At 38.4% G+C, this 14600-nt stretch overlaps 1 protein-coding gene across 13 annotated transcripts in view, besides 14 other annotated features; it reads left to right on the forward strand.

The window, feature by feature from the left end:
- The window catches only part of MITF (melanocyte inducing transcription factor), a 228869-nt gene that overhangs the window by 185205 nt on the left and 29064 nt on the right, over window positions 1-14600 (forward strand). For 9 of the 13 annotated variants that reach the window (NM_001354607.2, NM_001354608.2, NM_001354604.2 and 6 more), the window contains 2 exons: window positions 13154-13381; window positions 14430-14513. In NM_001354607.2, coding sequence (NP_001341536.1) covers window positions 13154-13381; window positions 14430-14513 — 312 coding nt within the window. Of the gene's footprint in view, window positions 1-11923; window positions 12088-13153; window positions 13382-13683; window positions 14398-14429; window positions 14514-14600 lie in introns of those variants that run through there. The other 4 variants (NM_000248.4, NM_198158.3, NM_198178.3 and 1 more) reach the window with 3 other exon arrangements.
- Window positions 9730-9759: a protein binding site, noted in NCBI's record as "OC2 site MITF-D". NCBI's record gives its function as "positive regulation of transcription" and the evidence as "EXISTENCE:protein binding evidence [ECO:0000024][PMID:11478782]".
- Window positions 9730-12059: a biological region, named in NCBI's record as "MITF-M promoter region". NCBI's record gives its function as "regulatory_interactions: LOC107988038 | MITF".
- Window positions 9778-11537: a transcriptional cis regulatory region, noted in NCBI's record as "BamHI/PstI fragment from -2.3 kb to -382". NCBI's record gives its function as "contains multiple sequences important for expression in MeWo melanoma cells" and the evidence as "EXISTENCE:reporter gene assay evidence [ECO:0000049][PMID:8645245]".
- Window positions 9778-12017: a promoter, noted in NCBI's record as "BamHI/AccI fragment for -2.3 kb MITF-M promoter". NCBI's record gives its function as "active promoter in MeWo and HMV-II melanoma cells" and the evidence as "EXISTENCE:reporter gene assay evidence [ECO:0000049][PMID:8645245, PMID:10760582]".
- Window positions 11628-11647: a protein binding site, noted in NCBI's record as "SOX10 site 4; range includes SX2". NCBI's record gives the evidence for it as "EXISTENCE:protein binding evidence [ECO:0000024][PMID:10942418, PMID:10982026]".
- Window positions 11648-11660: a protein binding site, noted in NCBI's record as "SOX10 binding site 5; also known as site B or SX3". NCBI's record gives its function as "may synergize with Pax3 to positively regulate transcription; required for response to cAMP; may be antagonized by Sox5 competing for binding" and the evidence as "EXISTENCE:protein binding evidence [ECO:0000024][PMID:10938265, PMID:10942418, PMID:10973953, PMID:10982026]".
- Window positions 11655-11680: a protein binding site, noted in NCBI's record as "PAX3 site". NCBI's record gives its function as "positive regulation of transcription" and the evidence as "EXISTENCE:protein binding evidence [ECO:0000024][PMID:9500554]".
- Window positions 11682-11711: a protein binding site, noted in NCBI's record as "SOX10 site C/D; also known as site 6". NCBI's record gives the evidence for it as "DESCRIPTION:protein binding evidence [ECO:0000024][PMID:10942418, PMID:10973953]".
- Window positions 11693-11734: a protein binding site, noted in NCBI's record as "LEF-1-binding sites (LBS); includes LBS195, LBS201, LBS218". NCBI's record gives its function as "mediates induction by Wnt signalling; forms complex with Mitf-M and Ctnnb1" and the evidence as "EXISTENCE:protein binding evidence [ECO:0000024][PMID:10747853, PMID:12048204]".
- Window positions 11711-11729: a protein binding site, noted in NCBI's record as "SOX10 site 7/8". NCBI's record gives the evidence for it as "EXISTENCE:protein binding evidence [ECO:0000024][PMID:10942418]".
- Window positions 11766-11785: a protein binding site, noted in NCBI's record as "CRE". NCBI's record gives its function as "mediates induction by cAMP" and the evidence as "EXISTENCE:protein binding evidence [ECO:0000024][PMID:9700169]".
- Window positions 11782-11811: a protein binding site, noted in NCBI's record as "OC2 site MITF-P". NCBI's record gives the evidence for it as "EXISTENCE:protein binding evidence [ECO:0000024][PMID:11478782]".
- Window positions 11865-11891: a protein binding site, noted in NCBI's record as "BRN2 site". NCBI's record gives the evidence for it as "EXISTENCE:protein binding evidence [ECO:0000024][PMID:18628967, PMID:18829533]".
- Window positions 12039-12059: a protein binding site, noted in NCBI's record as "SOX10 site F". NCBI's record gives the evidence for it as "EXISTENCE:protein binding evidence [ECO:0000024][PMID:10973953]".

A 14600-nucleotide genomic window follows, 5' to 3' on the forward strand; every position in this document is an offset into this window, starting at 1 on the left:
AATCTGTCTCGTAGTTTGTTCAACCTCTCCCCAGAAAAATGTACAGTCAAAGTTTGCTTACAATTTTCAGGAATTTACAATTTCCCTAAAACCCAGTTAAAGAGAACCACTGACTGATCCAGCTCATTTGGAAGTATGAGAGGAAAGATGTCACGAAAGCCTTCTGTATGAGACTGTGGCCTGCAAGTGTCCCAGCTCTAACGTTCATGTTTTTCCCCTTTTTCTCTTACTCTCACAATCCATCTATGATATTTGAGTTAGCTAAAGAGAAAAAGATAAAAGGATACAGGAAAGAGGCTGAATATTTCCTTCATCTTTTAAAGTCCTCTCGTCTCCTTCTTGGTGGCTTTATATTTTTTTTGAGATTGTGAGCTATATGATTTAACACTAATCCACTTGGATGTGAAAGCAAAAATTCCAAGGTGAACAATCATAGAGAACATTATTTATTTACTGAGCATTTACTATGTGCCAAGTACTTTTCATGCATCTCATCACTTAAGCTTATCAGCATCTCCAGCAACTATTAGGTAGGTAGGATCCATGAGCCCATTTTGTAAACAGAAAACTGAGGTCCAAAGCATTTAAGCAACTTGCCCAGGATTTGAACTCAGATCTATTTGAAATTCCATTCAGATGTTTAACAATACTAAACTGCATCTCTCCATTTTACTCTGACAGTGGGTCGTATTCTTAGCTGTGTGTCCCAAGCAGGCATACGTGGAGTATTTTATAGCTGTGTGCACCATTTATAACAACTTCTTCATGGTGGCGTGAGGCATTTCAGAGCATTATATAAGAAAGTCTCTTAATGTTTATGCTGTTTTTAAATTAGACTTAGTGCAAGCCAAGAAGAAGCCAAGGGCATTTTCAAAGTGTTCATCAGATCATGTTGATTCTCTTTATTAAAACATCTCAATGGCTTCTTACAAGTAGTAGAGAATAAAAATCAAATTCCTTTCAATGGCCTGCAAAGCCCTACAACATCTGGCCCAGACATTCTTTTCAGGGCTCTCACTGACCTTGTCAGTACTCCAAAAGTGCTGGCTCTGTGGTTGTTGATCTTGTCCTTATTCATCCAATATGCTGGGCTGCTTCCTACCTCAGTATCTGATCTCTTCTGTACCTCACCATAGCTGGCTTCTCATCATTGAGGTTCCACCCAACTTGTTGCTTCTAGAATAGCTTTGTTGCAATGGCCTTTTTTTCTCTTTTACTGTCTGCATTGCACTTCTCATTGTATGAGATTCTTATTCCTTTGTTGGTTCATTACTCTGTGTTTGTCTCTGCTTCCCCACCTTAAATATGATTTTCATGCAATCAGGGCCTGTGCTTTAGTTGCTGCTCAGTCTTCAGCACCTAGATGAGTGCTGAGTAAATCCTGGTTGAATGAATGAATGGTTTGTTAAGTGGGGATGGTTACATTAAACCTGCATGCGAAGCTCTCAGCACAGTGCATGCCCCAGTCGGAAAGCACTGCCGAGCTGCTGCTGTTGTTGGTGAGGTTAATTCCAATCTGGAACTTCATCATAACATAATCTATAAGGCAAGTTTTAAGAATTTCCCAAGCCAATGCAGTTTCTCAAAAACCAGAAGGACCCTCAGTCTCATGATATAGATCCTGAAGTTGTGTTATTAGGAGATGGCTGCTTTTTGACAGTTTTTAGCTCATGTGGGCTTGACCTTCAAACCAGTAGCATTCAGCAGCTCTCATCTCTGCCTAGGGGCTTTCTGACCTTTTGCTTAGGCCCAAGGCAATGTTTTCATCTCTGACAAACTTGACCACTGCCAGTTTCTTAAGAGTGTCGGTACTTATGAGAAGGAGTTGTTCTGCCTGTGCTGTAATCATCTCTAATACCCGATAAACTGCAAACAATGGGGGCATTTGAGGGGGGAAATGGTACAACAAAAAGACGTCTGCGATTCTGAGGCAGGGCTAAACTGGGGCACGTGGAAAAGTTCTAGCATGTGGAATGCTGCACTCGCAGCTCCCATGGTGGGGGGGATCTGGACGGTCCTGACAATGGGCCATTATAAAGGCACTATTGAACCACGTAATTGTGGCCTTTGGAAAAACCATAAAAATGTGTCAAATATTATACAAATGCAAACTGTACAAGCTTGAATGTTAGACCAAAAATTTCAGAAAAAACAAAGTCCTCTCCATCTGATCAAACAGTTCAAGAAAAAGTTGAAACAAGGCGAATTTCACCATTGTGTAACCCCTTCATGGGTTTATTTGTTGCTTGCAAAATTTTCAGTAGAGGAATTCTGCCTGAATATATTTTCATTTGTCCAGATCTGTAGGCTTTCATTCTCATGGAATGTCTAGCTTGTTTAAATTACAAAATCAGTGTCATGTACATTATAGAAAATAATAAAATAACAATCACTGAGAATTTATCGCTCGGGAATAGTCATTGTTGAGACTTGACCGAGTAATTTGTCATTAGTTTTTTTTTTTGGCTTTGCATATATATAAATAGCATTTAAAAATCAATTTTGGATAGCAGCATGTATAGTGTTTTTAACCTGCTTTATGTTCCCATTTACATTAATGAACTTTCCGTCTCATTAAATATTGTTAGATTAACACAGTAACGGAAAACCAAACACCACATGTTCTCATTCATACGTGGGAGTTGAACAATGAGAACACATGGACACAGGGAGGGGAACATCACACACCGGAGCCTGTTGAGGGGTGGGGGACAAGGGCAGGGAGAGCATTAGGACAAATACCTAATGCATGTGGGGCTTAAAACCTAGATGACGGGTTGACAGGTGCAGCAAACCGCCATGGCAAATGTATACCTATGTAACAAACCTGCACGTTCTGCACATGTATCCCAGAACTTAAAGTAAAAAAAAAAATAAATTTGATATATGAAATTCAATGTAGTGTACTAGACAAGAAATAAACAAAAAATTGTTAGATAAAATGTGGATTGTAATGACTGCATAGGATCCATTTATATGTAGTGGTTCTCAACTGAGGGCTGTTTTGTCCCCAGGAGGCATTTAGCAATGTTTGGAGCCAGTTTTGGTTGTCATAACTGGAGTGGGACATGCTGTGTTACTTGGCATCTAATGGGTATAGATTAGGGATGCTGGGAGACAGCAGGCAGTTCACACATCACCCCCACAACAAAGCAGTATCTGGCTCCAGTGTCAATAGTGCTGAGGCTGAAAGCCTGAACTATATGGCTTCCTTATAATTAATTGAATCCATGGCCTATGAGATATTTGTTTTCAATTTTTTTATTAGAAATTAATGGCTGAAAAACTTTATCTATAAAAAACAGAGTGTTTTAGACTTTTGGGGCCGTCGGGTCCATTACTCAACTATGCTCTTGTACTGTTATAGCTTGAAAGCAGCCATAGACTATACTTAAATGAAAGTATGGATGTTTTCCAATAAAACCTTATTGACAAAAATGGGCGGCATGCCCCAGGCAGTAGTCCACCTACTTCTGTTAGAGATAATGCTCTAATAGATGTCTGTGTACCTAAATCTTTGTCCCGTATCTGATCATCTCCTTAGAAAAGTTCTTGAAAAGAGCCATTGCTGCATGGGCAACATGTATGTATCTTTTTAAAGTTTATATCCGTTTATTTTATTTTATCTTTTACAGTTCTACCTATTTATTTTATTTTCTCCTATGAGATTGTTCATTTCATGTAGCTTTCTGAACACACTTGCGCCACCATCATTCTATCAGATTTGGAACCTTGTTCAGGGATATGAAGTGTGAATGGGTAAGGTAGGATTTGCAGATTTAAAAGTCTTCAGGAATCAGACGGGTTAATGAATAAAGTAGTCCAGTTGTCAGTGTCAGAATAAAGAGTGATGAGAGTTGCAGAATGAAAAGTAAGTGCTCATTGAAAGGGAGAAGCTACTTCTCAACTCTGTTGCTTTTCAACTCTGATAAGTTGCTGGCCCAGTAGGAGTGCAGTTTGGTATCTCTAGATCTTCTGATTTATCAACCAGAAAAGAGAAATCCAAACTCTGGTTTGAGAAACCAGATTTTGGGTTGAAAACTCCCAATTTTTCATCATTGGTGACAAATTCATAGAACACTAAATTCTGTCTAGGTGAACAGACTTGCCTGTGGTTTGTGTCCATGGACTGCCAGCTTGGGGACCTTGGAATAACTGTGACTTATCTAGGGGTCTACAGCTAGAGGTGAAAGCAAATCTCAGGCTTCCGGCCGGTCATTTGAGACCCACAGGGCCCTACTGGCTTGTTGTACTGCTAGATGAGAGCTGTAAGAATTGGCAATCTTTGGGCAGCCCCTGATAGATAAGGAAGCTTTATCATGTGAAGTAGGGTGGCAGGCTGTGAATCAACTGCCTGGCCTGAAGACTTAGTTCCTCTAGAGCTTTCTAACTTAGGAAGACTGAGGGACTGTCACACTTCATTTCCTCAGGACGTTTCCAGAGGTGGTCAGAATCCTAGCCTACAACCCCTGCCTACACAATGTGGCCCCTTGTTCTTCGGTTCTGCCCCTTATCCATGCACGCCAGCCACAGTGGTTCCACACTGCTTCACTGACGTACCAAATACTTGCTGAGTGCCCACAGTGTGCCAAGCTGTGTTCTGGACAAAGCAGAGCAGAGGAGGGAGAATCAGGAGCACTGGTAGCATGTGGGCTGGATATGTGAATATGTCCTTAAGATAGTTATAGGAGACAAGGTCAATGAGGTAATGCTCCTGGGGTGGGGTGGAGTGGGAGAAGTAGGCACAGTGGACAGGGGTCTGTAGAATCTACGTGGAGAACTAACAAGCTAGTGTGGATTTCTGAACACCATACCCAGAGATTCTGATTCATTAGCTCTGGTTTGGGGCCCTGGAATGTGCATTTCTAATAAGCACTGTGAATAGCATTGATGTAGGGACTTCTAGGCCATTGCAAATACTTTGTTTTTGTTTTTTTTTCTCAGAAATAAGTAGGGAACCATTACAGAGGTGGGGTTTTTCTTTTTGTTTGTTTTGGTTTAGTTTCTATAGAGAAATGACTTGATCTGACAATATCACAAGATCCCCCTATTCATTGTATTGAAAATACACCGTCAGAGTGCCAAGACAGAAGCAGGTAGAAGAGTCAGGAAGCTTTCCATCATCTAAGTTTGAAGAGATGGTGGCTTGGATCAGATGGTAACAGTGGAGCATGAAAATCCATCATATTCTGATTATTTTCTGAAGATGGAAACAATATTTCTTGATGGGTTGGATCCAGGGTATGAAAGAAAGGAGTCAAAGATAACCATGATTTGTAGAATGAGCAACTAGGTTAAGCCAGAGGAAGACCATTTTTTGACCTACCCCCGCCCCCAACAAAAATGGCAATTTTCTATGTTTCAACCTAATAGAAAAAAATGGAGTTGCCAACTGTGAAAATGCAGAAGACCGTGGGAGGAGCCAATTTGGAAGAGTGGATGAACATGCTGAGCTTGAGAGTCTGCAGTCCTCCAAACGGTGCCGTCTCGTAGGCCAGTGGAGATGAGTCTGGTTCTCAGAGACCTCTGTTCTGGGGTGCTTAAATCCATGTGACTGGGTTCGATCACCAGGGCTGGGAGTGTAGATAGATGAAATCAAGCTCGGATCCTTGAGGCACTCTGACATTTAGAGGGGAGAAGAGGAGAAAACTAGCTAAGGAGAGTGAGAAGAAATGAAGAACGTGAGAGAAAAACCAGGCAAGTGTGGTAAATCGAAAGCCAAGTAAATAACATGTATTAAGAGCCTCCTTGCTGTTCTTTGAGCAACCAAGGCTTGTTCACACCTGAGGGCTGTATGCTTGGCTGGAATGCCGTTCCTGCCAATCTGCCTGGCTCATCTCACCAACTTCAGGTCTGGGCGTCAATGTCATACTCTGTGAGGCCCTTACCTAAACACACTGTGTAAGATTTGCACAGTTGCCTGGCATCTAGTTGGTGCTCAAGCAATATTTGTTGATTGAATGGTGAACATATAACTTTTGATGAAGGCAGCAGTCCAGGTGAGAACATATGAAAGCCTTGCTGCTCGGGATGTAGTGTGTTCCCTGGACCGGCTGGGTCAGCATCCCCTGGCAACTTGTTAGAAATGCAGAAATCTTGGGCTCTAGCCCAGACTTGTGGCATCACACTCTGCATTTAACAAGATCCTCCAGTGATTTGTGTACACATTAACATTTGCTCCCAGTCCTGTATTTAATTTTCTATGAATGTCAAGAGGACAATTGAGTATACTCTCTCAGATGGGAACAACTCAAAGTAAGAAGTTAAAACAATCAAAATCAAATATCTTCAGTGGTTGTTTCTGTATTCAATCAGAAAGCTATGATACAGTTTAAAAGCAAAAGAAAACTGTGTCGAGACTTTCAAGAATATTTTATGTGATTATCCCCCTATCTTTTTTACTTTTATTTTATGTGGTTATTCCACATATCTTTCTTACTTTTACTTTGAATTGACATAAGCTAGGAGCGCATGTAAAATGCATGGCATCTGGTACATGGTAGACAAGTTTGAGAGAATGAGCACTAATTCCGTTCTTTATATTTTAAAACATCGTGCTATATAATGTAACATATCCACTCATAATGTCTTATAAGACCCTCATTTAAGAGAAATGGTTTTCTCTTCTATTCGGCTGAGATAAAACCACATGTTCTTTTTATTATCATGGTCTTTGGCTTATTTTAGCCTGAGGGAGAAAAAAATAATGTATATATTAGGGATTTTCTTATGATAACACCTTTTTTCTGAGGCTACTAAATATTGTTTGTCCTAAAACCAAAGTATGCCTGTCTTGTGGTTTATAATAAGCATACTGTTTTATAGGTCATTAGCTAAGGATAAAAGACTTGCTGGGAATTTTTGATAGGGCTAGTCTAGTCTATTCTGTTTTAACATCAAATTTTCAGAAAAGTACATTTGTTATCCTTTTCTTTTATACATATTTACAGCTCAATTCTCTGAATTCAGAAGCCTACAATGTAATAAGACAGGAAGTAGTATGAAAGTATACAGACCCATAAATATGTGATATAAATGTATATATATTTATTTGTGCACACCTGGGATATGCACCTGGAATATGCACCTGGAATACACCCCTGGATTTACACAGTTTTATCTTCCCTTCTTATTCAGTTAAAGTCCTAGATCAGAACTGACCCACAGAAGAGGGAGCTTCTCTAGTTCGCCTCTGCGGACAGAATAATGGAGACATGGCTATGGTTTCTAACCCTGGCAAGTTGTTTAGGTTTCCTCTTAGTTTCTGTTTTCTTTAGCTTTAAAAAGGGTGGGGGGTAATTAAGCATATCCTGTATTCTTACAAAGATGCTTGTCCAGTTAAGACAGTAGTTGGAAAAACAACTGTAAAATTACGTATACATATACTATTTCTCTTTATTAAAATCACCCCATTCTTTCCTTCAAATCCTGCTAAAACTTCTGTTGAGTAGGAAAGTTCAATTCTAGTTTGGTGAAACTTTCCTAGAGAGCAGGGGTCAGCATTTTCTATAAAAAGCCACAATGTAGATAATTTTAGGCCTTGGGGGCCCTGCAGACTCTGTTGCTACTCTTCAAATCTGCTATTGCAGCAAGGGAGCCGCCCTGGACAACATGTCAACTAATGGGTGTGGCTGTGTTCTGATAAAACTTTATTTATCCACATTGAAATCTGAATTTTATATAATTTTCATGTGTCATGAAATATTCTTCTTTTCATTTTTTTTCAACTATTTAAAAATGTAAAATCCATTCTTACTTTATAGACCATACAGGCAGCAGACCGAGTTGGGCTGATGGGTGGACAGACTCCTGTTGTAGAGAAAAAGCACTGGGTTTGTCAACCATAGCCATTTCGAACCTTTCTTTATTTAAGACTCTTTGGTTTGCTTTGTATTTGCATCTGATTTTGATTCTTCTCCCTTAGGCCAGGATTCATACCCTTGTTGTTTTTACTTTTTGTTAAGGACAGCTTTGTACAGATTGTACAGTAAACAAGATTATATGTCCAAGGATATATGTTCTGGGCTTTTGTTTTCTTTTGTGGTAATGTAATTGTGGGACTGAAAAGAACCTCGACACTTAATCAGATGTGACCTTTTGCAAGACTATCCTAGTTATTTAAGAAAGCTAGCTTTCTCTGTTTTACCGCTTTTTTCAGGAAATATGATTGCATAACTGACATTCTCTATGGATTGCCATTTTTAAAACAGTATGAAAAGAATAGTGGTGTGGTGATAGATAACAATTGATTAAAGGGTAATCCCTTTAGTTTTCTTTAAACTTGCTGAGCAAAAGAACAAATTATCTCTCTAAACATAAGTGATAAATCTGAACATTTTGTTGAATTATTAAAAATATATATATATAAAGCCATTTGAGTGTAGAAGCATGTCATAGCTACTCAGGAGGCTGAAGTGGGAAGATCACTTGAGCCCAGGAGTTCAAGGCTGTAGTGTGCCATGATTGCACTTGTGAATAGCCACTGCACTCCAGCCTGGGCAACATAGCAAGACCCTTATCTCTAAAAATATAATAAATAAATAAATAAACTAAAAGGATTAAGAAAATCTACACTCGCTTCTACTTGAATTCTGGTTTACAAATAGTAGAGAGAATAGAAGAATAGTGGATATCTAGATAGGGATATTTCTTCCCCAGTAAATTCTGTTGTCAGCCAAGATGGTAGTATCTATAGCTACCATCTTAAACTGACATGTGATGTGCTCCAGGATCTCTTTAGAATGAAACTGATGGAAAATAACCTGTCAGTTTTACCCAGGAAGTGGTAAAGCTGAAGTGTGACAGTTAGGAGGTGATCCATTCCGATTCTCTTGCTATCCATTCAAGATCTGAATGAAGAAAGGAAACAGGTGAAATTACAGGAGTGCTAACAATGAATAAAAGTTACAAAGCCTTTGGGTGTTTGCCCTTTAACTCAGATAGCTAGCATAATTTATATGAAATATAAGTTATATCAATAAATAATATTTTATGATAAAGTATTCTAGCTTTATTTTGCTGTCTATACTTCAGGTGTTCAGCAGTACTCAACTTTTGCTATCTGAATTTCTTAGTGTGGTTAGTCATCTGGAAAGTCAAAAACATGCAAACATTATCAGGAAATCATAAAGATGTTTCTGTCCTCTTTAATGCTACATATATGTTCTCATTTGCATACTTCTTTGGCTATTTAAAAATTAATGAAAGCAAAGTTATTGACTAAAAAGCTATGAATTAGGGTGGCTGAAGACAGAAAATTATATTTATATGGCTTTTTAAGTTGTCAAAGGGCTATAGAGCCTCATAATAATGCTATGAGGGAGTTTGGACAGGGTTAGTATCTTTCTCCAGCATCTTCTCAGGGAGGGAAGTAAACATAGAGAGGCTATGTCACACACCACCTGTCCACAGTGGGGAGTGACATTGCTGGTGCAGTGATGATGCTAGAATGCCAACCACATTCTAGATCAGGGGTTCTCAAAGTGTGATCAGAGGGCCCTGGTTGTATCTAAGACCCTTGCAGGAGTTCTGCCAGATCTGGACTATTTCAGAATAACACTAAGATATTGTTTTCCTTTTTCACTCTCATTTCACCAGTAAACAATAGAGTTTTCCGAAGGCTACATGTCGTGTTGAGATGTCATTGTTCTGACATCCTGTGAGATATCTACTAATGTATAATCGTGTGTTTTCAAAAATTCTCAATTTTAATTTCTAATATGCTAAATATTGATAGATATAATCCATGTAAACACAATAAATTTAAAGAGTGTAAAAGGATCCTAAGACAAAAATGTTTGAGAATTGCTGTTTTAGATATTGTGCTAAGGCCGTTAGAAACATGATCTCATTTAATGCAGAAAACACACATATGAGGCAAGCTCTACTGTCATTCCCATTCAATATGCTAGGAGATGAGGGCCTGGAGAAGTTAATGAATTGCAGAAGGTACACGGGTTGTTAAGTTGCAAAGATAGAATCTGAACCCAGGTTTCAAGTTAAGAACTCCACTGTCTGTGTTGTCAGGCACATTGTCTTTCAAAGAAGCACCAGGAAATGCCTGGATTTGGACTAATTTCTCAGAAGAGAAACTTCTTCCCATAACCTAGGCTATCTCCAAGGGAATGTAAATATGAAGATTATCCTTATAGACAGTGTAAAATAGAGATTATTTTCTAGTAGTTTGTGGGCCGAGGCTTGTACTCTGTGAAACACAAAACAGTTGAGCATCGGATCTTTAAACCTGGAGGATTTTACTTAAAAAAGAAGTTTGGATTGCCAGCTACCCTTGAAAAATTTGGAGATTTTGAGCTAGGCTGGACTCATATTCCCACATGGCCACAATCAGCTGCAGTTTTTATCTGCTGTTCCTGCTAGATAGATGTGTGTCCTCTGGTTTGCCACAGACCTCACTACTCCTTATTACCTTCCTCGTAGCTCATGTTCCTCATTTATGTTGCCTGTTTGAGGTATTTGGGTTAGAAACAGCTGGAGATGTTCTGTCTACTGCATAGTGTTTATAGGCCATCTGCTTTCAACTTACGTGAAAAATAAAAAGTTATTAACAGTAAAAGAGCCAAATATATCCCATTCTGCTTACCCAAACCTGGATGTAATAAAGACCTCACTGACAGTGCCACATAGAAAGCAAATTGCTTCTTTCTTTACTAAAGCATAATATTCTGATTCATTAAAGAATTAGGATCTGCCAGTGAATTAACATTTATTTTTAAACATGAATCTCTTTTCTTTTTAAGTGTAATAGTGAAATAAGCACATTCTACTCATTGCCCTCATTTTATGTTTATTTTAGTAATGTCTACTGTCATCATTATCATGTCTGGACCCTTTATAAAAAAAAAATCTCTGTGAACCTCTGTGTACATATTAAATCAGTCATTTGAAACAATATGAGATTGTCAACCTAACGGACTGCATTATCCTGGGCATTTAGACAACATTATTGAACTTCAAATTTTTAGCTTAACATAACATTTGTCAGCAGTAGATATTAAGCATTTATCATAATTTATAAGTATATATTTGCTTGCCTCTTTTCTTTTTTTGCCTCACCCCAGAATATAAGTTTCATAAAGCTGGAAACTATATCTGTTTGTTCACAATGTATATTCTATGCTTTGTACAGTGTTTAGCACTTAACAGTCAATAATGAATGAATAAAGGAATAAATATGTAAATATATCAGTGTTGTATATGATAACTCATTCTTCTGTAATCTTAAGAATAATATGTAAAAATTCTCAGCAAAAATGCTCATGCTTTTTTCATTTGAGAATTAAATAGGGGAGATATTTATTTCTTATTATCCACATAAATATATATCCACTTCTGTGTGTGCTATGTTCTATTTAGGATAGTGCCCGGTCTTCCTGATGTGAGGTCAATAGGCAGGTTACACATCTATGTAGCTAAGAATAAGGTGCATATTAAGACCAGGATGCAAGAAGAGGCTGTTGAACTTGAACATTCAGCACAGAGTCTCTTCTCTTCTATACTAAAAGATAGTCATCCTGCAGTCGGAAGTGGCAGTTATTCGGCCATTGGAAAAGTCTCATGTAATAGTAGCTTTTAGATGATGTCTCCTCCAAAGGGGCATTCTGCTATTAACCTATTGCTGAAAGAGAAATACCATTGTCTATTAATACTACTGGAACTAAAGATGAATAGTGAATTGGCCTTGATCTGACAGTGAGTTTGACTTTGATAGCTCGTCACTTAAAAAGGTTCTTTTATATTTATGAAAAAAAGCATGACGTCAAGCCAGGGGGAAAAATTGATATCAACATTTAAGACCAAACTCGTAGGGCTTCCAAAAAAAAGGCCCTTATGTGAACGTTTTTTTTTACATGCATAACTAATTAGCTTAGGTTATTATAAGCAGGGCTTCTGTGATAAAGTTTCCGGTGGTGTCTCGGGATACCTTGTTTATAGTACCTTCTCTTTGCCAGTCCATCTTCAAATTGGAATTATAGAAAGTAGAGGGAGGGATAGTCTACCGTCTCTCACTGGATTGGTGCCACCTAAAACATTGTTATGCTGGAAATGCTAGAATATAATCACTATCAGGTGAGATTTATTCTGACTCATATTCAGTCTTTGAAATATAATGCAATAAATTGATTTAATCCACTTTTTGTTATTGTAATAGACATACTGTTTTCAATAAGTATAAATCTGCTCTTTTAATGCTGTTTATTATTTGATGCCATAAGAAGTAATTCAATGTAGTTTTGAACAAAGTAAATATTAGTAGGATTCTTTTTTTTTTTTTTTTTTGGCCTAGTGTGTGGCTAAACTATCTTCATCAGCTCCTGTTCATTGCTCATAAGATTAAATTGTCTTTATCAAGAAAAAAGTGACTTAAAATTGAATAATGTTGTTTTTTGGGGAAAAGTATTTCTCGTTCTGAATTAATGTCTGTAGGAAAGGAGAAAAAACATCCTGTTGGCTTGTTAATAGTCATGTCTTTTAAAACACATACGTGTAAGTGTTATGCATTTGAAAGAAACTACTTAATGTAGAATTGCTTTTTATGTTGAGTTTTTTCTTAATTACAATGTTGAATAATCATGTCCAAATGAAAAGTGGGAGAATTAATCCACAACTAGTTGATTTAATCATTGGAAGATTTATATTTATTTTCTACAGCCATTTTACACAGTTGGTTCTTAAGGAGGTGTGTGTGTGTGTGTGTGTGTGTGTGTGTGTGTGTGTGTTTTAAAAAGAAAGCTGTTCTGTTCGCCAAGGAAAGTGAAACAAACAATTATGCCACTTCTACATTGTTGTTTGATCTTAATAAACCCTTTCATGTGTGTTGGGGAAATTTTTGCCCTAAGATAATTTCAAACTTTTAATTATTAGATATGAGAAGAAGGATACAAGGTTTGAAAGAGACGTATAGTTAATTAGCAGGGAAATAAAATAGGGCAAAGTATTACACCAAATCCTACTAGTTAGACTTTAAACTTCAGTAATATCAAAATCCGTTAGCACAGTGCCTGGTACATAACAAAGGCTTAATAATTTATTCTGTTGGTGGCCTGGTCAGTTTCATGTTTGTGCCTGAAGGAAGAGCCGTCTGAAACTCACAAATAACAGCGCTGTTTTCTTTTCCCTCCATGGCTATGTTCAGGTGCAGACCCACCTCGAAAACCCCACCAAGTACCACATACAGCAAGCCCAACGGCAGCAGGTAAAGCAGTACCTTTCTACCACTTTAGCAAATAAACATGCCAACCAAGTCCTGAGCTTGCCATGTCCAAACCAGCCTGGCGATCATGTCATGCCACCGGTGCCGGGGAGCAGCGCACCCAACAGCCCCATGGCTATGCTTACGCTTAACTCCAACTGTGAAAAAGAGGTAATTCATGTCTCCTCTCCTCTCCTGTTTTCTTATGCTAAATAACTTGTCTGTTGAATATGATTCCCACACTTAACTGTGGACTCTAGTTTGTCCTTGTGGCCACATTTACCAGCCTTTGTCCCCGATTCACCATCGTGGCTGTGGCATTCCAGCCTGTTGTCTCCATCGCTGGGTTATTGGGTGTAGAGCACATGACGGGAGACCTGGCCCTCTCCAAGTGAAATGTGGAGGCGAGGACACTTTTGCCACTTGCTTCTTCTTCCTTAGCTGAGTGCTCTCTTCTCTTCCATGCCTTTCAGTTTATGAAGCAGTGAGAATGCAGAGAGAGGAGAAGGGGAGGTGGAAAAGGAAAAGCAAAAATAGAAGAGGTGTGGGACATGCTGTTTAGAAGTTCCGCTTGTTGTGAATGTCTGGAATATTATTTTTATTTCTCCCTGAGTTGGGGGAAGAAAGAATGGAATATGCATGGATGGATTTGAATCATATAGCACATGAGACTTTAACGGAAACGCAAAGGTTTAATTGCTGGATACATTCTGTTTCATAATAAAATTGCCACTGCCCGTTAAATCTGCTTTGGTGAAGGCTGGATTGGAAACAAGACTCAAACTACCTTCAAGCTAATTGGTGCATCAAAATTTGCAGCATACAAATACCTGAGAGCTGTGATTTAATGCTCATTATTTCCAAATTATGAGATGATGAGCTTCATCTCAATGGGATTTACCGTACTATGGACTATGAAGTGTTTATGCAAATTCGGAGGCAACTTTTCTAGAGTTGGATTGATTTTAATTTCTAGAGGGACTAAAATCTTTGCCCCTATGCCCAAACCAACTGCTTTATTTTTCTCTACCCAAATTTGTCATCTAGCAAGATGATTTGACACAAGTTCTTCCTTCATTATTTCATCTTTTGGTCAGATTCCACTTTGTTTGAAAGCTTAGTTCATCTTGTTGCTGTGCCATCAGCTTTGTGTGAACAGGTCATTAAAAAGTCATTTGCAAATCCAAGTTATAGACTGTTTTTGCTTGTGTTTTTGCAGGGATTTTATAAGTTTGAAGAGCAAAACAGGGCAGAGAGCGAGTGCCCAGGCATGAACACACATTCACGAGCGTCCTGTATGCAGGTACTGAATGACTTGGCAGCCTGAGGATGAACACTTTGTAATGAGAATCTATATTTGTGGTGGATCACACCTTCCTGAAAACTTAAG

The sequence above is a fragment of the Homo sapiens genome, chromosome 3 (assembly GCF_000001405.40).
Source record: "Homo sapiens chromosome 3, GRCh38.p14 Primary Assembly".
In the NCBI taxonomy this organism is placed as follows: domain Eukaryota; kingdom Metazoa; phylum Chordata; class Mammalia; order Primates; family Hominidae; genus Homo; species Homo sapiens.